This window comes from Homo sapiens, chromosome 7 (assembly GCF_000001405.40).
Source record: "Homo sapiens chromosome 7, GRCh38.p14 Primary Assembly".
NCBI classification, from domain to species: domain Eukaryota; kingdom Metazoa; phylum Chordata; class Mammalia; order Primates; family Hominidae; genus Homo; species Homo sapiens.
Window position 1 is genome coordinate 129,819,595 of NC_000007.14, and position 22,571 is coordinate 129,842,165.

General features: G+C 46.8%; 1 protein-coding gene across 4 annotated transcripts in view, besides 7 other annotated features; it reads right to left on the bottom strand.

The window, feature by feature from the left end:
* Positions 5,613-5,662: a silencer, noted in NCBI's record as "silent region_18636". NCBI's record gives its function as "represses an Ori minimal core promoter by ATAC-STARR-seq in GM12878 lymphoblastoid cells {active_cell/tissue: GM12878}" and the evidence as "EXISTENCE:reporter gene assay evidence [ECO:0000049][PMID:35858748]".
* Positions 5,733-5,812: a silencer, noted in NCBI's record as "silent region_18637". NCBI's record gives its function as "represses an Ori minimal core promoter by ATAC-STARR-seq in GM12878 lymphoblastoid cells {active_cell/tissue: GM12878}" and the evidence as "EXISTENCE:reporter gene assay evidence [ECO:0000049][PMID:35858748]".
* Positions 6,113-6,462: a silencer, noted in NCBI's record as "silent region_18638". NCBI's record gives its function as "represses an Ori minimal core promoter by ATAC-STARR-seq in GM12878 lymphoblastoid cells {active_cell/tissue: GM12878}" and the evidence as "EXISTENCE:reporter gene assay evidence [ECO:0000049][PMID:35858748]".
* Positions 6,783-6,832: an enhancer, noted in NCBI's record as "active region_26635". NCBI's record gives its function as "activates an Ori minimal core promoter by ATAC-STARR-seq in GM12878 lymphoblastoid cells {active_cell/tissue: GM12878}" and the evidence as "EXISTENCE:reporter gene assay evidence [ECO:0000049][PMID:35858748]".
* The window catches only part of UBE2H (ubiquitin conjugating enzyme E2 H), a 122,229-nt gene continuing 110,795 nt past the window's right edge, over positions 11,138-22,571 (bottom strand). For all 4 annotated transcript variants that reach the window (NM_001202498.2, NM_182697.3, NM_003344.4 and 1 more), the window contains 2 exons: positions 19,613-19,741; positions 11,138-15,467 (listed from right to left, as the gene is read on the bottom strand). In NM_001202498.2, the coding sequence (NP_001189427.1) occupies positions 15,343-15,467; positions 19,613-19,741 (254 nt within the window). In that variant the 3' untranslated portion in view covers positions 11,138-15,342. The remainder of the gene's footprint in view (positions 15,468-19,612; positions 19,742-22,571) is intronic.
* Positions 15,067-15,726: an enhancer, noted in NCBI's record as "H3K4me1 hESC enhancer chr7:129474501-129475160 (GRCh37/hg19 assembly coordinates)". NCBI's record gives its function as "activates a minimal SCP1, AML or CMV promoter by ChIP-STARR-seq in primed H9 embryonic stem cells {active_cell/tissue: H9 hESC(primed)}" and the evidence as "EXISTENCE:reporter gene assay evidence [ECO:0000049][PMID:30033119]".
* Positions 16,461-16,996: an enhancer, noted in NCBI's record as "NANOG-H3K4me1 hESC enhancer chr7:129475895-129476430 (GRCh37/hg19 assembly coordinates)". NCBI's record gives its function as "activates a minimal SCP1, AML or CMV promoter by ChIP-STARR-seq in primed H9 embryonic stem cells {active_cell/tissue: H9 hESC(primed)}" and the evidence as "EXISTENCE:reporter gene assay evidence [ECO:0000049][PMID:30033119]".
* Positions 18,704-19,903: an enhancer, noted in NCBI's record as "CDK7 strongly-dependent group 2 enhancer chr7:129478138-129479337 (GRCh37/hg19 assembly coordinates)". NCBI's record gives its function as "activates an origin of replication core promoter dependent on BRD2, BRD4, P300/CBP, MED14 and CDK7 cofactors, with strong dependence on CDK7, by STARR-seq in HCT116 cells {active_cell/tissue: HCT116}" and the evidence as "EXISTENCE:reporter gene assay evidence [ECO:0000049][PMID:35650434]".

Consider the following 22,571-nt stretch of genomic DNA (forward strand, 5'->3'; position numbering starts at 1 on the left):
CACCACTGCACTCCAGCCTGGGCAACAGAGCGAGACTCTGTCTCAAAAAATAATAAATAAATAAATAAATAAATAAATAAATAAATAAATAAATAAAAATAAAGCTGATTAGAAGCTGCGTGCATGGATGAGCTTGTCAACTGATGACCTTCACCAATTGTAATCTGATAGGGCGATTTCATTGGGAAACTCCTAATGTTAGTATCTTTGGGTCCTTCCTCTTGAGTTGGTCTGAGTACTTACAGAGGAGCCCTTCCATTTCCTGCCTGAATGGAATAAGCCTTGCTCCCAGGCTTGTGGGAGCTGCGTTAGGGAGGGAGACCGTGATACCATTCTGCACATTAACTGTCACTTTAAACCTAGATTTTTGGTATGGTAATTTCCCCTCAGCTGTGTTCATATCCCCTCCTAGCAGAATCCTCTAGTCTTCTGCTCAGCTGGGAACGGGTCAGTAGCCTGGGTACACAGAAGTGGGGAGGAGCTCTAGATCCCCAAAATGTCTTAAGCTTTCTTTCTTTCTTTTTTTTTTTTGAGGCGGGGTCTCACTCTGTCACCCAGGCTGGTATGCAGTGGCGTCATCACAGCTCACTGCAGCCTCAACCTCCCCGGGCTCAGGTGATTCTCCCACCTCAGGCTCCCAAGTAGCTGCAACTACAGGCTGTATGCCACCACACCTGGCTAATTTTTTTTGTAGAGATGGGGTTTCGCCATGTTGCCCAGGCTGGTCTCCAACTCCTGGCCTCAAGTGATCTGCCCACCTCAGCTTCCTAAAATGCTAGGATGACAGTCATGAGCCACCGCACCTGCTGTCTTAAGCTTTCAACTTGACCTCCTGTTACAGTCCTTCGTTTACCCCTCACTGATCAGAGGAACCTGGAACCACTGATCTTTGGGGTGGCAGTTTGCAGTGTTTTGTTTTTAATCTATTAAGTTAGCTACTACAAGTACACCTGTTTTCTAGTTTTCAATGGGTTGTTTGTTTGTTTGTTTTACAGACAAGGTCTCACTGTCCCCCAGGCTGGAGTGCAGTGGCGCAATCATAGCTCATGGTGACCCAGAACTCCTGGGCTCCAACAACAAGAATCTTTTTGTTGTTGTGCTATTGTTGGTTTGCCAATGTCTAATCTTCCTTACTTTTTATGTCTGTGGGTTATGTGCCTTGCCCACTTTTGTAACCCTCTACTGTCATTTTAGTGGGGTTTTGATGTCAGAGGAGTGAGATTAACCCGCATGGTCAATTGGTCATCTTTTTTTTTTTTTTTTTTTTTTTGGAGACACAGTTTTACTCTGTCAGCAGGCTGGAGGGGAGAGGCGCGATCTGAACTCACTGCAACCTCACCTCCTGGGTTCAAGCAATTCTCCTGCCTCAGCCTCCTGAGTAGCTGGGATTACAGGCACCTGCCACCATGCCTGGCTAATTTTTGTATTATTACTAGAAACAGGGTTTTGCCATGTTGGCCAGGCTGGTCTCAAACTCCTGGCCTCAAGCGATCCACCTCTCCTGGCCTTCCAAAGTGCTGGGATTACAGGCGTGAGCCACCACACCTGGCCATTGGCCATCTTTAATCGAAGGCCACCTTCTTCTATTTAAAGCTTTGGTTTAGATTTATTCTTTTATCTGCACTTTTGGAAGTCTCTCTTCCTAAGTGTCAAGATACCGCTTTTCCCATTTTGGCTACTGCAGACTCTAAGAGGACATGGTAAACTTGGGCTCATAACTGCACCTTTCTGTTCCTCACCTGAATACTAAAGATGTGTATTAGTCAGGATTATTGATTGCAAATGACAGGAAGGAGCTTGACGTTTTCCCCTGAAGGAGAAGTCCAGGGAGGTTCTCAGGCAGCCTCTCTGCAACCTGGTTCTAGTCTCACCAGCTTTGAGCTTTGCAGTCCCAGAGGGAAAAGGCTCTTCACTTTCCCAATGGTTTCAACAGAAGCCCCAGTCATGTGCTACTCTCTGAACGGAGTAGGGGACCTGACTGGCTGGCTGGGTCAGAGGGCCCCACCACTGCGGGGAGGGGGAGTTTTGGAGTTAGCTTCCAAGAACCACTTGGATGAGGTGAGGGAGGCAGGGTTGTTCCCTCAAATAGCATTGCAGTACTGATACCAGAAGAAGGGGGAACAGATGCTGGGTAGGCAGAAATAACAGGTGTCCACTGCAGGGTTATCATACCAGCCTCATGGCCTTGCTGTAAGTTAAACCCTTAGCTGGGTGCCTGAAACATTAAAACACTAGCTGCTGTTGCTGTTGTTATGACTGTCACTGTTAACAGGGAGACTTTGTGGCTCGCCTTTTTATCCTGAACAACACATTCCTTTGCTAGGGCCAGAAACAGGCACAGAACCTGTTTCCCTCGGCCTTCTGGCCATGCAGTTGGCAGCGAGGCTCAGCAAAGCCTCCTGATCCCATGCTCTTCTCTCAGTTGGGTCTCCTCTCCTTATCATCCCTGCCTCCTCCTCCAGGTGTCACACCTTGGCCTCACCCTTCTCACTGAAAGAACACACATGTACTTTGCCACGTACTTAGCCGCTATCTTGGAGTGACTACTTGGAGTGTGGGTGTTGTAGCTTTGTGATGGTTGCTCAAATAAGTTATAAACTGCTGGGGATTGGGCCAGGGTCTTACATGCCTCCAGCTAAACCCCTTTCTCCAAGGCCTAGAATGCAAACCTGGCCACACACAGGATCCAGTAAGTCCCAGGCAATTGAGGGGTCTAGCTGGTGGCAAGGCCTGGAGGGAGGACATCAGATCACCGGGCATTTGGCCCATCTCTGCCAGTTAAGGACTGAGGTCCACTGCTAGTCACTGTGACAGAGCCTGTTCTATATGTTGGTAAAGCCAACCTCTCCTATTCCTTAGTAATATTAATAGAATCCTGATTTTTTAGAATTGCAAAATTTCAAATATAGACCTTAAGACTTTTACTTAAAAACAGACTAAAGGCCGGGTGCAATGGCTCATGCCTATAATCTCAGCACTTTGGGAAGCTGAGGTGGGTGGATCACTTGAGGTCAGGAGTTTGAGACCAGCCTGGCCAACATGGTGAAACCCTTCTCTACTAAACCATTCTCTACTAAAAATACAAAAAAAAAAAAAAAAAAATAGCTGGGTAGGGTGGTACGCACCTGTACTCCCAGCTACTCGGGAGGCTGAGGCAGAAGAATCGCTTGAACCCAGGAGGCAGAGGTTGCAGTGAGCCAAGATTGTGCCATTGCACTCCAGCCTGGGCAACAGAGTGAGACTTCATCTCAAAAACCAACAAACAAAAAAACAGACTAAAGAAATTTTTATTATGAAAAATGTATAACCTATTTAAAACAGAGAATGGTATAAAGAATGCCACATAGCCGTCATTCAGCTTTAACACATGGCTAACCTTGTTTCTTCTATTACATTCCCACCCCATTATTGGATTATTCTGAAACAAATCTGGACATATAATTTCATCCATAAATTCAGTAAGTATTTCCAACAGGTGATTTTTGAACATATACACTAGTAAATATATACATATGCACAATATCATATAAAACACAATACCTTTATCACAAAACACAATACCTTTCTCACCTATAGAAAAATAATCACCAGGTGTGGCGGCTCACGCCTGTAATCCTAACACTTTGGGAGGCCAAGGCAGGAGGATGGCTTGAGCTCAGGAGTTTGAGACCAGTCTGGGCAACAGGGTGAGACCTCACATCTAAAAAAACCCCAAATAATTACCTGGGCATGGTGGCGTGCGCCTGTGGTCCCAGTTACTTGGGAGGCTGAGGTGGGAGGATCACTTGAGCCACGGAGATTGAGGCTGCAGTGAGCTATGGTTGTGCCACTGCACTCCAGCCTGGGCAATGGAGTGAGATCCTTTCTAAAAAAAAAAAAATCATAATTTATTCATATCATAACATACTACTTATTGTTTAAATTTCCCCAATTGTCTCACAATTTTTTAAAGAGCTGACTTGTTCTAATAAGTTCCAAAAATGCAAGGTCCACGTTACACTAGAACCCCAATTTTATTCAAGGGGGCAATGTGCCCAGGTGAAGAAGTATATTTCCCAACTTCCCCTAAGCAGGGTGTGGGCCTGTGGCTCAGTTTTGCCCATGAGGTTTAAGTGGAAGCGTGGAGGAGGCTTCCAAGACTCCTTAAAAGGAACTGTCAGGCCGTGTGTGGTGGCTCACGCCTGTAATCCCAGCACTTTTGGAGGCCGAGGTGGGTGGATCACTTGAGATCAGGAGTTCAAGATCAGCCTGGCCAACATGGTGAAACCCTGTCTCTACTAAACATACAAAAATTAGCTGAGTGTGGTGGTGGGCGCCTGTAATCCCAGCTACTCTGGAGGCTGAGGCTGGAGAATCGCTTGAACCTGGGAGGTGGAGGTTGCAGTGAGCCAAGATCGCACCACTGCACTCCAGCTTGGATGACAGATGAGACCCTGTCTCAAAAAAAAAAAAAAAAAAAAAAAAAAAAAAAAGGAGCTGTCGGCTGAGAGATGAGCACCTTTTCTCTGGAGCTCCAGCCACTGTATTGAACCATGAGGTGGCCTTCCAAATGGAAGTCAAAGCTAGAATGACAGACAGAAAGAATAGGAAACGAATTTCCCATTCTATTCTTATTTCCAGTCTTTATTATAGAATCATTTAAGATTAGGTTTAGTTGTAATAAGTAGAAAATTAAAAAATTTATAGCAGTGCCTTAAATATGCTACAAATTATTATTATTATTTTTTGAGACAGGGTCACGTTCTGCAGCCCAGACTGGAGTGTAATGTCACAATCTTGGCTCACTGCAGCCTTAACCTCCTGGGCTCAAGTGGCTCTCACACCTTAGCCTCTCTTGTGGTTGGGACCACAGACGTGTGCCATCACGCTGGGCTGATTTTTACATTTTTTGTAGAGACGGGTCTCCCTATGTTGCTCAAGCTGGTCTGGAACTCCTGGGCTCAAGTGATCCTCCTGCCTCGGCCTCCTAAAGTGTTGGGATTACAGGCGTGAGCCACTGTGCCCGGCCTATTTTTCTATCTCACATAAAACTAGTTAAGAGATAAGCAGTATGGGGAAAATACAGTGGTTCCAAAAAACCACAGACTATTAGGTATCTATTGCTGCATAATGGATTACACCCAAAACTTAGAACCTTAAAGCAGCAAACCCGCATTCCCATCTATTTCCCAGTTTCCAAGGGTCAGGAGCCCGGGAAGCTGCTCTCAGGCTGCTGCGGCTCAGGATCGCTGATGAGGCCTGCCGCAGCCATTCTCAGCTGCACCGGGTCCGGGCATCCACAGCCGGCTCACGCGCTGGTGGTCGCCAAGCCTCAGCTCTTGCTGGCTGTTGGTTCAGGGCTTCGGTTCCCAGCCAGGTGGGGCTCTCCAAAGGAGAGGGCAGCTCAAAACAACCCGCTGGCTTCCCCCAGAGCAAGTGATAGGAGACAGGAAGAGGGAGCTAGAGAGAGCCCTGAAGGTGGACGTCGCAGTCTTCACTCAATCAATCTCCGCAGGGAACGCCCTGCAGGCCCAGGTATCCTTCCGGTCCCTTCCTCCTGCCCCTGTGCTCCAGATCCCCCAGGCTCCAGCCCTGCAGCCCGAGCCCCACCCACTATCCTCGCCTCCCGCCCTGCCGCTCGGCCCTCCCGCTTCAGGTCTCTGTCTCTCCCTTTCTCCCTTCCCCTCTCTCTGTATCCTTTACTTTGTGCCTCTGATGCCTGACCTGGCCCCAAGCCAGCACCCCACCATCCCACCCTCTTCCCACCCTGCCCCCCGGCCACGTGCCCCCGGGCCAGCCAGAACGCTGACCCCTCCCCCTGAGTCCACTCCCCGCTCCCCGCTCCCCGCACAGCCCGGGCCACGCCCTACCCGGGTGCCCTCCCTTTACCCAGCTCCTTCCCATCCAGCCGGGTCCTGATCCAGCCCCCTGCTCCAGGATGCCCCCTCCTAGCGGTGTGTGAGGCTTTCATGACCCTTCTTCCTCCTTTCCCGACAGATCAGCGGGGGAGGTGGGCTGAGCCGCCCCTCTCGTCGTCACCCCTGCCTTGGCCGCCCAGCCGTGCTGGGAGAGTTTGGTGGCCGTGGCTGGCACTGCGGCAGTGCCCATGTCAGCTCTGGCGCCTCTACCGAACTCCCTGTTTTGGGGGCTCTTTCCCTACCAGGGTCACGTCGATGAGGAATCTACGTCCCTCCCAGCCCGGTTCCCACCTCTCAGGTGGGGCAGATGCCAGAGGCCTCCCGGGTCCACGCCCGCGGGCCACTTGGACCGCCCTGCCCCGGCCAACCCCGCCCCACCCAGACTCCCGCCCGCGAGCGGGTGCCGAAGCACGAAGCACGTACGCCCCCTGGTGGCCGTGGCGGGGACTGCCGCGCGGACTCCGCAGCCCCGCCCCACCCCGCCCGCCCAGCCCAATCCCACCCGCTCCGCCCTGCTCGCCCCTGCCTGCTCACCTACTGGGCTGCGCTGTCCACGCCTGGAGCCCGGGCAGCTTCAGTTCCGCGGAGGACAGGTGTAACCCACAGAGTGATTCCTTTACCGGGGCCTGCTAGGCTCCGGCCCACGAGGCAGGACTGGCGGCGTTCTCACGTCCTGGAAGTCAAGGCCCCAAGGGGACCGAGGCGCTGCCCAGGCTCCCCTGACTGCCAGCTCCGGCCTGGCCACCCAGTCCGCCCCCAGGGACCGGACTGGGTGCGCCGTCCACCCTTCCAGTACCTGGAACATTCTCCGCGGATTGGGAGGTTCTGGGTTCTGCCCTAGATTCCCAAGCAAAGTTGCTCCTTTGCTCTTGTCACTTGCCAGCTTCGTGGTTTTTGTTTTTTGTTTTTGAGACGGAGTCTCGCTTTGTCGCCCAGCCTGGAGTGCTGTGGCGCAATCTCGGCTCACTGCAACCTCTACCTCCCCAGGTTCAGGCGATTCTCCTGACTCAGCCTAGCTGGGATTACAGATGTGTGCAACCATGCCCGCATAATTTTTGTATTTTTAGTAGAGACGAGGTTTCACCATGTTGGCCAGGCTGGTCTCGAACTCCTGACCTCAAGTGATCCACCTGTCTCGGCCTCCCGAAGTGCTGGGATTATAGGCGTGAGCCACCGCGCCAGGCCTGCTTCTCTAAAGATCCCTGCAGCACGGAGAGGCTGCTAGGGCCCGTGCTTCTGAATAGGTAGCCAGCTGTGGCTATTGATTATCACATTTTTCGTGGTATATAATTTTAATTAATTTTTAATTTTAAAACAAGTGTAAATTGTTCTGCAAAACAACTTTGTTTTGTAGGACTATGCGGCACTTTAAATATTGAAAGTGTAGCGTCCAAATTGAGATGTGCTTTGTGAAATACCCCCTGGATTTCAGAGTTAGCACAAAAATAACGAATCGAAACTATCTCATTCCTTTACTGTGAATTACATGCTGAAATTTTTGTTTGTTTTTTGAAACAGAGTCTCACTCTATTGCCCAGGCTGGAGTGCAGTGGCGTCATCTCGGCTCACTGCAATTTCTGCCTCCCAGGTTCAACTGGTTCTCCTGCCTCAGCCCCCTAAGTAGCTGAAATTACAGGTGCCTGCCACCATGCCCGGCTAATTTTTGTATTTTTAGTAGAGTCGGGGTTTCACCATGTTGGCCAGGATGATCTCTATCTCCTGACCTCAGGTGATCCACCCGCCTCAGCCTCCCAAAGTGCTGGGATTCAGGAGTGAGCCACGGCGCCCGGCCTCACACTGAAGTATTTTTGATATATTGAGTTAAATGAAACATTTAACCTTTTTTAAAAAACGTGGCTACTAGAATGTTTTTAATGATAAATGTAGATCACATTCTATTTCTATATTTCTGCACTAGGAAGTGGGTTTGAGTTAAATCTAGTTTTATTTTCTGACCGTACTGCAGGTACCGGAGGTTGGGGAAACCATTGTCAGTGGAAATGGGGATGTGTATGGGGAAAGGTCCTGATCCTCAGAGACCACGCCCATAGAGTGAGCCCTGGGCAGGAGGTCAGCCAGGGAGCATCTCATAGGGCCCAGGCAGCATGAGGTTCACACAGACATAGGTACCCACAGCCCCAGCGGGCATTGGGGGCAGGCACTGAGCTTGGCACAGCATGATTCTTGGAAAGAACACGTATGGATGGCCTGAAGACCCAGGTTCTAGCATGGTTATGCCACTGTGTGACTAAGCCACTTGGCACAGCACAAGCAGTTAATGTCCTGTTCTACTCACCGAAGGGCTCACTGCAGTGAGCGAGACTCGCGAGGGGAAGCCCTCTTCAGCCCTGCCCATGGTGGTCCTCTCTGGAGGAGGGCATGTTTCTGGAATCCTGATTTGTTACCAGCACATAATTTTCAAGTTGGCAGAAATGCATCGTTTAGCTGGGTGCGGTGGCTCATGAGAGCATTCTTATTTTTGTGCTAACTCTGAAATCCAGGGGGCATTTCACAAAGCACATCTCAATTTGGACGCTACATTTTCAACATTTAAAGTGACACGTAGTCCTACAAAACAAAGTTGTTTTGCAGAACAATTTACACTCGTTTTAAAATTTAATCCCAGTACTTTGGGAGGCCAAGGTGGGCAGATCGCTTGAGCCTAGAAGTTCAAGACCAGCCATGGGCAACATGGCAAAACCCATCTGTATAAAAAATACAAACATTAGCCGGACGTGGTGGCTTGTGACTGTAGTCCCAGCTACTCAAGAGGCTGAGGTGGGAGGATCAGTTGAGACCGCAGTGAGCCATGATTATGCCACTGCACTGCAGCCTGGGCAACAGAGTGGGATCCCGTTTCAAAAAAGAAAAAGAAAAAGAAAAAAAGAAGTGCATCTTTAAAAGCCTTGTCCTATGCGCGTGAACACATGAGTGGTGCGTAGCAGGCCCTGATGCGCTGCTTACAGAATTGAGGAAAGCAGAGGCAAGGCTGCCCACAAGGAGGCCGCAGCTTCTTCAAGGAGCCTCTTGCCGCGTGCTGGCTGGCCTTGGTGGCCAGGACCCCAGGAGAGGAAGCTGAGGGAGGCCTGAATGCCAGCCGCACCTGGCATCCGGCACCCCCTTCTAGGTTCATTGCCAAGTACCGGCAGCCAGAAGGGTGTAGTTTTCTCTTAGGGAGTCCAAGTCCGTTGTTGCCACCTCTGACCCCTCGACACCAGGTCCTGGGAGCCAAGTCTTGAGCCCCAAAGAGCTCTGAGGAGCCCAGGTCCACAGAAGTGCCCTTTTTTTGAAAATAAACACCCTTCACTACATAGGTACACACACGCGCGCGTGCAGACACACATGCACACACACACATACACACAGCCAGAGGGAAATGCTCCTATCTTTTATCTTCTAACATTAAATCCCTGGTCAGGATAACTATTCAGTCCCAAGACGTTGGGGGGTGCACACACAGTACACCCTGAGGCCCGAGAGAGCAGGCTTGGGCCCAAGTTGCACTGTCCGGGACTCAGGGGGGATGAGCCCCTGAGATGCTACTTACAAATAGGGCTGCTCAGCCTGCCAGGGGGCTGCAAGGCCTCTGCAGCTCCAGGGATTGTGGGAGTCAGAAAAATCCTTTGTCTTGGTTCTGGGTGGGAAGCGGGACACCCCCAGATCCAGTGTCACAGCCACTCATTCCCAGGAGGACAGAGCAGTCTTCAGAGCCAGCAAGAAAGCTGTGGGGCTCAGAGCCCACTAGCTTTCTTTTCCAGGACAACGTGCCTCAGAAACCCCGGTCCCCTTCCCAGGAAAGGAACAATGACTCAGGCAGGTAGTGACAAGCCACCTGCCACTTGGGAAACAGCTAGACTGAGGCTGAGAGGTTGAGTGGTGCTGGGTGAGATTACTGGGGTTGGTGGAGGGGGGAGGTCGGGGGACCCAAGTGCCGGCGACTGCACTGAGACTTCTCCTGGGAGGGGTTTAAAAGCAGCTGCCTTATTGAGATCAATGGAATGACTGCTCACGTGACCCATGTACCTCTTAAGTCCCCTTCAGGCTGGAAAGTGCTCTACACCCCCAATGCTCTGAGTCTAAAAACTCTAAACCTGTGTTGAAACGCTGGTGTTTCGTGGTTAATATACAGCATCCTCTCTCAGTTACTCTATCCTATGACGGGGCACTGTTTCGCAGCCTGGGTGGAGTTGAGTCACAAGGTGGCAGAGTCAGAACCTACTAGTCTAGGGATGTCAGTTTACAGCTCAGTACCCAAGGTCCATGAAAGCCCAGTGAGGAGCCTGAAGTTGCACAGCTAAAGGAAGGGCTGGGACTCGAACTCATGGCTCTGTGGTTCAGTCCTTTGGCTAAAGGGTCCATGAACGCCACCCACAAAGAATGTATTGAATGTTTTGCTTCTGGGCTCTGGAGGCATCCAGGGTAGCTGGGGGGTTCCCTGCCAGTGAGGAGGGAGCAGGCACTGGCACACCATTCCTCAGTAGCCCGACCTCATTCAATCTGGCAGGTAGGTATGAAGCCGGGTCAACCGGCGCGAATGCATCAGCATGTAGGGAAGGAGAAAAAGGAGTTTAGGGGAATAAGGAGAAAACAGTGGAAAAGAGCTGGAATGAGAACACGCGAACAAAGCAACACTATTTCCTTTGTCTTAAGGTCCTGCTAACAAAACCGTCTCCATTAGACTGAGCGGCATCGCCATCTGGTGGTAACTAAAGGCAAACGCTTTAGAAAGGAATCGAAACGGTCTAATCCAGCGATTAGCATTTTACCATGCAAAACCCACCGTTCCTCATCTCCCAGGAGGCTTAGCACTTGGCAGAGGACCACCTGTTTAGGCAGATCAGTCCCAGCAGGAAGCTGCACTGTCCTTGAACTCCAGGCCACGGAGTATCCTCACTCAGCGTGAGTTGACAGGGCTTAGAAGGTTTAGGCATGGGGGTAGATAGGGACCTTCGGGCTTTCCACGGCTCTAGTGGAGGAGCCTCACAGCCCCGTTCATAGCCAGCAGTTGTGCATCTGAGTTCCAGGTTCAAGGACAGGCCTCTGGGCAGAGCCTCTTGGTTATTACTGCCTAAGGGTGCCACTCCCTTCCCAAACTAATTTAGTCATCTGCATTCTAAGAGCTGCTCAGCCAAAAGAAGCCAGCGTCTGCTGCTCAAAGGAGCCAGAACAGAGAGGGTATTTTAGAAAACCAGCTGAGAGTAATCATGAGGGCTATTATCTTATTGATCAAGGTCCAGCCATTTGCCAAGGTATATACACGTTTATTTAAAAAAGTTTACAGTTTTCATTATACACAACTATTAAGAGGTTATAGTCAGAGGAGGCATGTGTCCTGTTGACAGACGTGCCTACTAGATCATCACAATGCAAGGAGAAAGGTGGAAGGGAGGAGACAGGGCGAGGAAAAATAAGCGATAAAAAGCTTCAGATTTCAGTTAGGGGCTGGCAGTCCCTTTTATCTTTTCAAGTATCACACAATATGTACCAAATACAATCTGTAAATAATGGCCATTTCTTCCCAAGCCCACAGCCAAGATGAGTGTTAGGCTAAATTCAGAGCCCTGGCTCTTCCTCAGATGAGTGGAAAACCTGCGCATGACAGGGCCGGCTCCCCCTTCTCAAAGGGCTTCCTCCCACTCATCCCATCCCTAACAGAATCGCCGAGGTGTTCACGGGCCAGAGAAAGCACAAACATGGATTCAGAAGTCCAAAGAAATGCAGTTCGTTGCGCCCAATCAGAGATAGATGATTTCATTCAACAAGGCTGGAAGCCCAGTTGGGAAGTCGATAAAAAATCTTGCTAACTTTTTTAAATGGCTTTTACTTTTCTAAGTCACTGAAACAAGGAAGGGCCACATGCCATTTAAAATCAAACACTAGTTCCCAGAGACTTGGTGTCCAGAAACTTGACCCACAGAGGCTAGCGGAGGATCTGTCTTTCATGATTCTCAGCCATCCCAACGGGAGGCCTAACATAAAGCATGTGCCAGGCCAATGCCAACTAGGACTTCAGGGGGCCTTTGGAGGGAAAAATTCCTTTGAGAGGAGACATTCCTCAGGAGCTTAGATCAGCCAGCTGGCAGTCAGAACAGCTTTTGAAGTGGATGAGAAATGTTAGGTACTGGAGAGATGATATGGCAACTCCTGATAATGACCTCACTAGGATAAAATGCTGGTTGAAACTGCACAGTAACCTCAAGGAGGGTGATGAAATTGACGACAAAGCCAAATGTCAGTGTCTAAGATGGCTACCACTGACCCTGTGCCCAAAAGCCCCCCGGTGCTGGGGCTTCCAGAGGGAGCCCAAGGGTGGTGGATTCAATGTTGCCAGGTTGCAACCATCTTGCTTGTTGGTGTTTGGCAAGAGCTTGAGCTCAGTTATGTGAACAGGGGCAAAGAATGGCTTGTGCTGGTAAAACTCAAGGGAGGATCCAAAAACTATGGGCACTAAAAAGGGGAGGGAAACCGCCAGAAGTGGCTCTGACCTGCTGCCGCTGCCACCACCTCTAAAGCCAAGAATGTAGAGCCTCTGCCCAGGGATCTGGATGCTCTCCTGAGTGTTGGAAGGGCAGCCTGGAAAGGCATTTGGTGGTGAAACACCGCTGCTCCAGACTTACGCTACCATCTATTGTTGGGGGCCCAGAGTCCTTGGATTCACTGCCAGGCCTTCTTCCAGATCTTTCTGTACCTGTGTGTTTGGGCTCCTACTCCCACCTCTCCCAGGCGCAGGGAGAGGACAAAAAGCATAAGGGACTCTGTTCAACCCAGCAAAAGTCAGTTTCCCAGTGGAGAGGCAAAGCCCCACCCAGAACATAAACATGCATGGGACCAAGGTTAGTGCCCAGACAGGACAGACTTGCACAGAACAAGAGGGCACAGTGGGATCCATGCGGCAATTACAGGAGCTTCCAGCACTAACAGAGGAGCCTTATCCCACCTTCATCACACACACTTAGATGGACACACACACACTCTCGCTCACACTCTCACACATGTGCACACATACACACACTCTCTCTCTCTGCAGCCACACTCAAATCTGCTAAACTCCTACAACCTCCCCCAGCAGGTCATTTGACAATTCTGCATCTTCCGCTCTCTGGTGCTGGGGCTCTGGTCAGAGGCGAGCCAATGTCTTATCATTAGAGAGATGTGGGATTAGGTAAGGGGCAGAGTCATGGCACTGCTCACACACCTTCCCGAAACTGGGGTCTATTCAGTTTTTTGACAAGATCAAAAGCAATTCTTAACTGGTCATTATTTTTTTTTAAGGTAATTAGAACACTATTGTTTATACAATATTGAAAAAATACAATTTTTTATTGTTTGAACTCAAATCACCACCCAGCACTTTAAGCCTACCCTAAATAGCACCTACAATAAATGTCATAGCACAAGCAAACTGCAAAGTCAGCAGGTAAGCAAGTTAGACAGTGCCAGCAGAGAGACCCTCCCTCCCCCAAAGCAATGAGAAGACAGCGTGCTAGGTAAGAGTGAAGTACACCATTACATGTTAAATAGTTAATACTACCCTTCCAGCAAGCCACAGATGCTAGATGGATAACTCAGTACGGTTAACTAACCACAGCCCTACATCACTGCACTTTTTTTTTTTTTTAAAGAAAACCTTTTGCTTCATGCCCGTAATTAACATAAAGTAAGTAAATTCTTTGTCTTTTTATTTAGGAAAATAATCATGCTAAAAGCAAGTTGTACTTTATATAGATTTTCAAACAAAAGATTGATTGTGCTTTTTGAATAAAAAAGATAGGGTATCTTCCAACCTCACTGACTTAAACCTTGTGGAATACAGCACTTCTAAACTAAAAACACACGTCAAAAAGAAAAATTAAATAATCCCAGTGGGATGCTCAAAAATCGTCTTTAGAAGGTTTTAGGATTGGCTAATTCTGCTATTATCTTATTGGCTGCGGCAAAAAAAGAACACAGAGCTGCTGTCTAAAATTTCTCCAAACTCCCCTCCGAGTTCAGCAGGCAACACTCAGATTTGAAAGAAACTCTGCAGCAACCTGGACATATGGTTAGCTGAGTCGACATTTGATTAGCAGGCATTTTAAACTGATTTCCTCTTAACATACGCAGGAGAGAAAACATTTTCTTCCTGCAGGGCATGTTCTACTACATCATATTTCTGAATCCCTTCTTCCTATTCGGTCACTCTCTGAAAAAAGCTGGTTTGTTTTTCCCATGTAGAATCACTCTGGGTACAAGAACCTTTATTTGTTCCAATTATTATTTGTTTTAAATTTAGAACCTGTGTTGGGTCTAAAATACCCATTTCCCACTCCCACAAGCAGATGATGACCAGGCTGCTGCCAAGAGCAGCAGAAAAAGGGAAAACCAAACCAGAACATGAAGGCAAGTACCCAGGGCTTTGCAGTCACCACGTGGGTCGTCTTCTCAAGTCTAATGGTCCATGAGCGGCTTGTCCAAGGAGGCGGCCGCCTCTTGGTAGGTGAAGATGAAATCTGCAACCTTTCTAAGCACAATACACACACACACACACCAAAAAAATAACCCCCCCAGAAACACAACCCTCATATTTAAAGCTCTTAAGTTCAGGGTAGCGGTCTCAAACTGCCAAACACTAGGATGAGGATGTGACTCTGCATGTGTTTTGGATGAGAGGAAGCATCGTCCCAGTCACTTTTCTCCTCCTGTGCTGTCCTTTCAAAAACAGGTCTGGATTTCACGCTCTACCCCAAGAAAAAGAACTGGTTCAGAAAACACTTCCCCAAGTTTCTCCAACAGAACACTGTGGCTGCAGGGCCTGGTAGTGTGAAGGGCAGCAACTGACATATAAAAATGTACTTAAAATCAGAGTCAAAAAATGGTTTTAAGTTTTAATACTCTTAATTAGCTCCCTGCTTTATACTGTAACTCCACAGAAGACATAGGGCCACCTAGGATTCACAGGAAGGAGCAGCTCTGATTCTTACATGGCTGGCTCCGATGCCCCCACAGCAGGCCTCTTCCTCCCCAAGTTTTTCCTCTCCATTTCAAAAAAGCACTATTTTATCTTCACATCCAAGAGCTGGTTGGTTTGGTTTGTTTCTTTGGAAACCAATAAAAGAAGCAATTTTTTCCTGTTCTTTTTACTCACATCTACCTATCAGAGCGGCTATTTCCTTCGACAGTTCAGTAGCACACAGGCTGACTTGGCCACATGGACTCATGAATGCATGCATTCAGACCGCATATTGCTACCAAATGGAATGTGGGAATATGCTATGCACCTCAGGTTGAGAAATGACCAAGAAATCAAGATCTAAAGGGTGATATATAATATATATATATCAATGCTATTATTCATAAAAACCTTGTTTAGTAATAAAAAAAATTGCTTTGTTTAAATATGAATATTATAGTCTGCTTCTCATGGTTAGGAAATAATAGTCTTTCTGAAAAGCAGGTGCTTTTTCTACTACAACTCCATATCCTGGGCCTCATCTTCGGAAAAGTCAGACATAGAGCTCTCCGATGAGCTGTCCCCGGTACCCTCTTCCTGTTCTTTCAGCGCCTCCTCCGTGGCGTATTTCTGGATGTACTCTGCACGGGGTGGGAGAAAGACAACAAGGGCAGTGAGTGGGCAGGCATGTGCTTTGGCGACCCCAAAAAGCTGGCAAGGCTGCGGAGGTTCAAACTTACCTTGAACACCAGGGGGGACAAAGATGACAGTAATCATGATCACTACAGCTAAGGAGAATCCCATAGGGAGACTTCTTTGGGACAGGGTTTCTGCATTTTGCCCCCTGAGGAAAGGGGTATTGGGAAGAGCAACACAGCAGGCTCAGCTTGCAGGGGAATGTGTGTGCTGCAGCACCCCAAGAACTCTTCAGGGACCAGGGAAATGGGAGCCCCACGCTTTCTTTTTACTTTCATCTCCCAGATAGTATAGGACCAGTCATGATTCCATAGTAATTTATAAGGAAATCCTTCATCATTTTTAGATCTGCAGTTACATAATTACGGTCAGTCCAGGTCTATTATTTTAGGAATCGATTTTAGTCTAAACAGATCCTGCCTGTCAGGTTTTTGAAGCAGCTGGCAAAAACCATCGCTCAATCTGCTCAGGACTAAGCTGCTATACGGAGACACCACTCGGCTCTGAGTGGTTTTTCCATGTATAATTTACCTGAAGGTAGATTTCCGCTGCTACAGCCTTGGTGGAACCCTAGGCTGAATAAGACTGCTGAAACGGCTTTTAAGAACTGCTGAATAAACAAACTTGTTCCTAAAAACTCTAAGTGCATACTGTTTTCAAGTGAACAGCCTCCACACAATAGGAAAAGACATGACAGAAACCTATTCAAAATGCAAGCCACACAAAAACACACCCTTGTGGCTTTGTTTTTCCTCCTATAGAGTTGCGGGGACTCACTGCAATAGGAAGATAAGCTGAATGGCCAAATGGGCCTACCAGATTTGAATAACTAGCACAGGGCCTAGCTAAGAATGTTTTTATATTTTAAAAACTGTCTTAAAAAATAATAAACAGAATGTGTGATAAAGGCCACATCTGGCCAATGTGGTCCTTTACAGAAAAGGTTTGCAGACTTGAGACTTAGAGCCCTTCAAATTCATTATAACAAAATTTTATGCTAATGATTTTGATGAGATTAAAGTAGCCCATGATTAGGTAGGAATTTACCTTAATTGAGAAATATTTATTCAAACTTTAACAATTTTATTTTTAACCTCTAATGGGTTGACTATTTTGCGTCTTCCTTTGTAGAAGATAAATATTGACCTTTTTTTGACACTAGAATTTGATACTATCAGCCCTCTTTAATGTATTCAAGGAAACAAATGTATATTAAGTACTTACTAGGACAAGGCCTTTGAGAGAGAGAAAGGAAGAGCAAGGTCACCAATGAGGAGGAGGAAACAGAGGAAGATAAAAGGAGCTGCTGAGTGTCACCAGAGGGAAGCAGTTACGGACGAAAAACGGCCGAGGCAGTCCCAGCCACACTGACCCCCAAGTCCTGCCAGCTATGGCATAGGAGAGGCCACTCCAGGGAAAGGCTTTGTTTTGTTGAAAGTAAGTGGCTGGGATGTTTAAACACAACCTTAAGAGAGAACTATGGCCAGGTGCAGCGGCTCATGCCTGTAAACCCAGCACTTTGGGAGGCCAAGGCGGGTATATCACCTGAGGTTAGGACTTCGAGACCAGCCTGGCCAACATGGTGAAACCCCATCTCTACAAAAATACAAAAAACTAGCTGGATGTGGTGGCACATGCCTGTAATCCCAGCTACTCGGGAGGCTGAGGAAGGAGAATCACTTGAACCCGGGAGGCAGAGGCTGCAGTGGGCCGAGATCGCACCACTGCACTCCAGCCTAGGCGACAGGGCAAGACTCCGTCTCAAAAAAAAAAAAAAAAAAAAAAAAAAAAAAAAGGAGTAAGGGCAAAGATGTAGATTCCACTCAGTATCAGAGAGCCCTGAATGGCAGGCAAAGATGTCACCCAGCAAAGGGTTTTGAGCAGGGAAGTGACAGCTTTAGACAGCTCCAATGGTGCCCAGTGCTACGGGCTATCCAATATTTAAACACTTTTTCAAACATGTACTATAATACAGCGCCAACTAAATATGAACACTGACTGTGTTAGCTGTGTTGGGTTGGTGGTGACTGCCACACAAATGGAAATGTCCAGCAGCAGCTTGGGAGAGAGGCCAGGCCTAGACACACATTCAGAAATCATCTCCCTGGAGGGGACTGACTGAAGCTGTGAGAGGTGAAACAGCTCCTCAGGGATGACAAAGGAAGAGAGGGAGCCCAGGGACCGAGTCCTAAGTGAATGACCACATTTAGGAAATGGAATGAGAAGTTTCCAGAAAGATGAGGGTAAAATGTAACACTTGCAGAAAGGTCCAGCAAAATGGGACTTGAGAAGAGTCCAAAGGATTGGGAAGAAATGAGGGCACAGATTAAGCAGAGGAGGGGAAAAAAACTAGAGGAGTTTAAGGTGAGGACGCAAGAAGTTTGAAAATGAAAAGGAATAAACAGCATGACTCCTAAGAGAGCCCACAGGAGCAGATCACTGCTCCTGAAACAGGGAGACCTCTGATGGGGTGGAGGAGGAAGACTGCATTGGGAGGGGGCGGGGGGTTGGGGGAACAAGATCACAGATTGGTGGTGGGAGTGAGTTTGAGAAATGAGGAAGGGTGTCTCTTATTTATTTCCTATAGTTAGGAACAAAGAAAAGATGCAGGAGGGAAGGGAGAAGATATCAAGGCACAGTAGGAAGTGGGGGTGAGCTCAGGTCTGATGGCCATGATTTTCTGAGATTACTAAGGAAGACAAAATGATAGCCAACATGAACATTTCCGAAGGCTAGGGGTCCGTACGCTGGAGTGAGCCATTCTAAGATAAATGTAGGCTCGGTTCTTTTTGTAAATGGGACTATAGCAGACATGTACTGAAACAGGGCTACTGCTAAATTGTTGAGACAGAATGCATATGTGAACTAGAGAAATATACTCTGCTCCAAGATATCTGTGGTTTGCAGACATTGCTAAGTGATTCCTATGTCAAAATTTTAATATAGTCTCATAACAGCACTTTATCTGGCTGAAACTGACTGCCTTTTTCTTCAAATACATGTTTGCTTAGCTATATATTTTGCTACATAAATTAGATATTAATTTGCAAAGCACTTGAGATCTAATTAATTATAGTAAATTTATTTCTGCTTTATCTCAACAACAGCTCCAAACAATACCCTATAGAGACCTTGGAAGAAGAATTAGAAAACAAATAGAAGAAAAGCTATTGTTTCATGAATAGTCCCTGTTTGCCTCATACCTGCACATTTCAGAGTGAAGACCTGCACATTCAAGCTCTGGTAAATTACTTCTACTGCCACCTCTTGCAAATGTACCTCAGAGAGGCCACACATTTTGAGGAAGCAAACATTCTGGACTGCTATGCAGATAGGCCCATCATGTGAAAAACTGGCTAGATACTAATGCCTGCCATTGGTTAAAAGCAGCAGGTATATTTCACAAACTTTGAATTCCTTTGCTTCTTGGTGGAGCTTCATGTATCTAGACTTTTCACTATGAAAGTTCTGAAACATACACAGAGGTAAAATGGAAAATCCAATGAACCCAGGTGGAGCTTTAGATTTTTTTTCTTTTTTAAAGACAGAATCTTGCTCTGTCACCCAGGCTGGAGTACAATGGCACAGTCTAGGCTCACTGCAACCTCTGCTTCCTGGTTCAGGCGATTCTCTTGCCTCAGCCTCCCGAGTAGCTGGGACTACAGGCGCGTGCCACCACACCAGGCTAATTTTTGTATTTTTAGTAGAGATGGGGTTTCACCATGTTGGCCAGGCTGGTCTCGATCTCCTGACCTTGTGATCCGCCTGCCTCGGGCTACCAAAGTGCTGGGATTACAGGCGTGAGCCACCACGGCCAGTCGCAAACTTATCTTCATTTAAATGAAACTCATATCCCATCAGCACGTAAACTGTTTTAAGGATGGGAAAATAGGATTCTAAATCGCAAAGGATGAGCAAACTGGTGCTACTGCCACCCGAGGTTGGTGAGCACTACTTCAGCCCACAGCTGTCTCTTTTTAGGCCTAAGAAAAAGTATTAGGAACTAAGTAATTTAAGAAGGACTTTTAATGACTGAAGCCCAACAGATTTAAGTTCTTTTGTCTCCAGGTTAAACTACCCATCCTCTTACCTTTAATTTTCTGCTTGTATTCTTCTGGTCGGTGGAGGTACATGGCTGCAGCGTCACCATTGAGAGGATCTATGGGGTTAGGATAGGCCAATAACTGAGGCAGGAAGGACTCAAATATATTGGTAAGATCTGAAAAACCAAACAAACATGTCACACATGGGAAATGCAAGTTCACCTAAAATTCACTTGCATTCAGTAGTCAAGCTGCTTACCTTCTTAGATATTCACACGGGGATGATTCTCCATACGAGTGTGCTCTATTACATGTGACTTGTATTACACATTCATTTCAATACCAATTTAAACATTTTAATTTTAATTTGAAGAACGAGATAAAGATATACCTGACATTCACTTTGAAGGACAATTTTCCCAATTCTATTTCACTCTATTTATATGGCTATTTCACACAGCCATTTTCTACAGCTTACAAAACCCCCCACTCTGAAAGGTATTCAGATGCTGGGTCTTAAAAGAATTGAAGACAGTTTTTGTGGGGTTTTTTTGTTTGTTTTTTTTTTTGAGACAGAGTCTTGCTCTATTGCCCAGGCTGGAGTGCAGTGGTGCAATCCTGACTCACTGAAACCTCTGCCTCCATGTTCAAGCGATTCTCCTGCCTCAGCCTCCCAAGTAGCTGGCACTACAGGCACCTGCCACCATGCCTGGCTAATTTTTGTATTTTTAGTAGAGACGGGGTTTCACCATGTTGGTCAGGATGGTCTCAAACTCCTAACCTCAAGTGACCTGCCAGCCTTGGCCTTCCAAAGTGCTGGGATTACAGGTGTGAACCACTGCGCTCAGCCTTGAACACAATTTTATAGGACTTGACATTTAATTCAATTCTTGCAACTTCTAATGGAGGTAAATATAACCAATTTTTCAATTATTCTGGGTAATGAGGATAGGAATCTATATGGACCACATAAGACTACAAATATTCATAAGACAGATAAGCACCAATCTACTGCATTTATTTATTTAAAAAAGTTTTTTTTTTGAGAGAGGATCTCACTCTGTTGCCCAAGTTGGAGTGCATAGGTGTGATCATACCTCACTGCAACTTCAAACTCTTGGGCTCAAGCCAACCTCCCAGCCTCAGTCTTCCAAGTAAATTGGACTATAGGCATGTGCCACCATACCCAGCTAATTTTTTTTTTTTTAAATAGAGACAGGGTCTCCTTATGCTGCCCAGGCTGGTCTTGAACTCCTGGACTCAAGAGATCCTTCCATCTTGGCCTCCCCAAGTGCTGGGATTATAGACGTGACATTTATTAACTCCTTTCTTGCCAGGCATACACAGATGATATCTACACACAGTTAGCAAACAACAAACACCTGCAGTTACCCAGCGTTTTAGAAAAGCAGGCCCTGAGAACCTGGGTATAACACAACCCACACACCCCATAGCTCAGATATGCTGTAACTTCCACACTCTGCTCCTCAGTGAACTGCAGCACCCCTGAGAAATGGAAGGACATGAGAATGCTTCCATGTCTCTGCCCCACTCCAGCTGCTTTGTCATGTTTTATATAAAACATTCCTGTTTCTGGAGACAATGCTGAAGTATACTAAGTAGCATAAAAAACTACTCATTAATTTAGTCAGCTCTTTCAACCAATTTTGCTTTTAACAATGGGCGCTCCTTTGCAGTATTACAGATGAATGCTTTGCCAAGCCACATTGCTTGAGATTTGTGGTTCTCAGCCAAGGGTGATTTTGCTCCCCATGGAATTTGGCAATGTCTAGAGACATTTTTGGTTGTCATATCTAAGCGGTGCTACTGGCATCCGGTGGGTGAAGGCCAGGGAAGCTGCTAAACACCACAATGCACAGGACAGCCCCACAACAAAGGATTATCTAGACCAAAATGTCAGCAGTGCTGAGGTTAAGAAACCCTGATCTAGATAAAAGCGGTAGGCAAACCTTTTTGTAAAGGGTCAAATACTTTTAGGCTTTGCAGGCCACATATGGTCTCTGTCATAACTACTCAAAACTCAGCTCTGCCACTGTAACACAAAAGCAGCCAAAGTATAGGTCAACAAATCGATGTGGCTGTATTCCTATAAAACTACATATACAAAAACAAGTACCCAAGGTCTGCCCAACTTTGCTCTAGAAAATCTTACCTATAAGAGGTGGCTCTTATCACTGTAAGGTTAAGAAGCTGAGCAGTTAGAGACTAATCTAGAGCTGTGTTACTCAACCGAACTTTCTGCAGTGATAAAAATGTTTTATATGTGCTCACCTAAACCAATAGCCACTAGCCATAAGTGGCTACTGAGCACTCAAAATATGGCCAGTGTGAATAAGGAAATTAATTTTCAGTTTATTTAATTCTAATTAAATTTAAATAACCACACATGGCTAGTAGATCCTGTATTGGACAGTGCAGGTCTAGAGAATGATGGGCTAGAGGGTCCCATGACAGCTACCACGTCCTGTTCTCACACACCAGGTATTGACACAGAGCAGCTCTGCCTTACAACAAAAGCCACAGACTTGGGGTGATTTCATCAGAGTCTATTTCACCTTCATAAGGCTGACTTCAGAACGGTCCTAAAGAGCCACTTTATAGTAAGGTTCTCATGTACCACGAAAGAAATCCTGACACTCCTAATCAAAAAAGCAAAACAAAAATCACCTTCCTATATAACCCCCAAACTATCTGCAGTAAGATTTTCACCAATGTTTTATCTACAATTTTTTTAAAAAGGGAAACAATTATTATGGTACAAAACCATTGAAAACTATTTGTTTTCAATGAAAAAAATGCTTATACTTGAATGCTGGGTAGAGAAAGGCCATAAAATGGTATGTTTTCTAGAATTACAACTATGTACAGTGTGTATGCATAAGACAAACATTTTAAAAAGCTACCTCAAGGCAATAGATGTGTAACTTCTACTTTTCACATTTCAAATGACATTTCTTTTGCCTTTAAAAATCAACATTTTTGGCT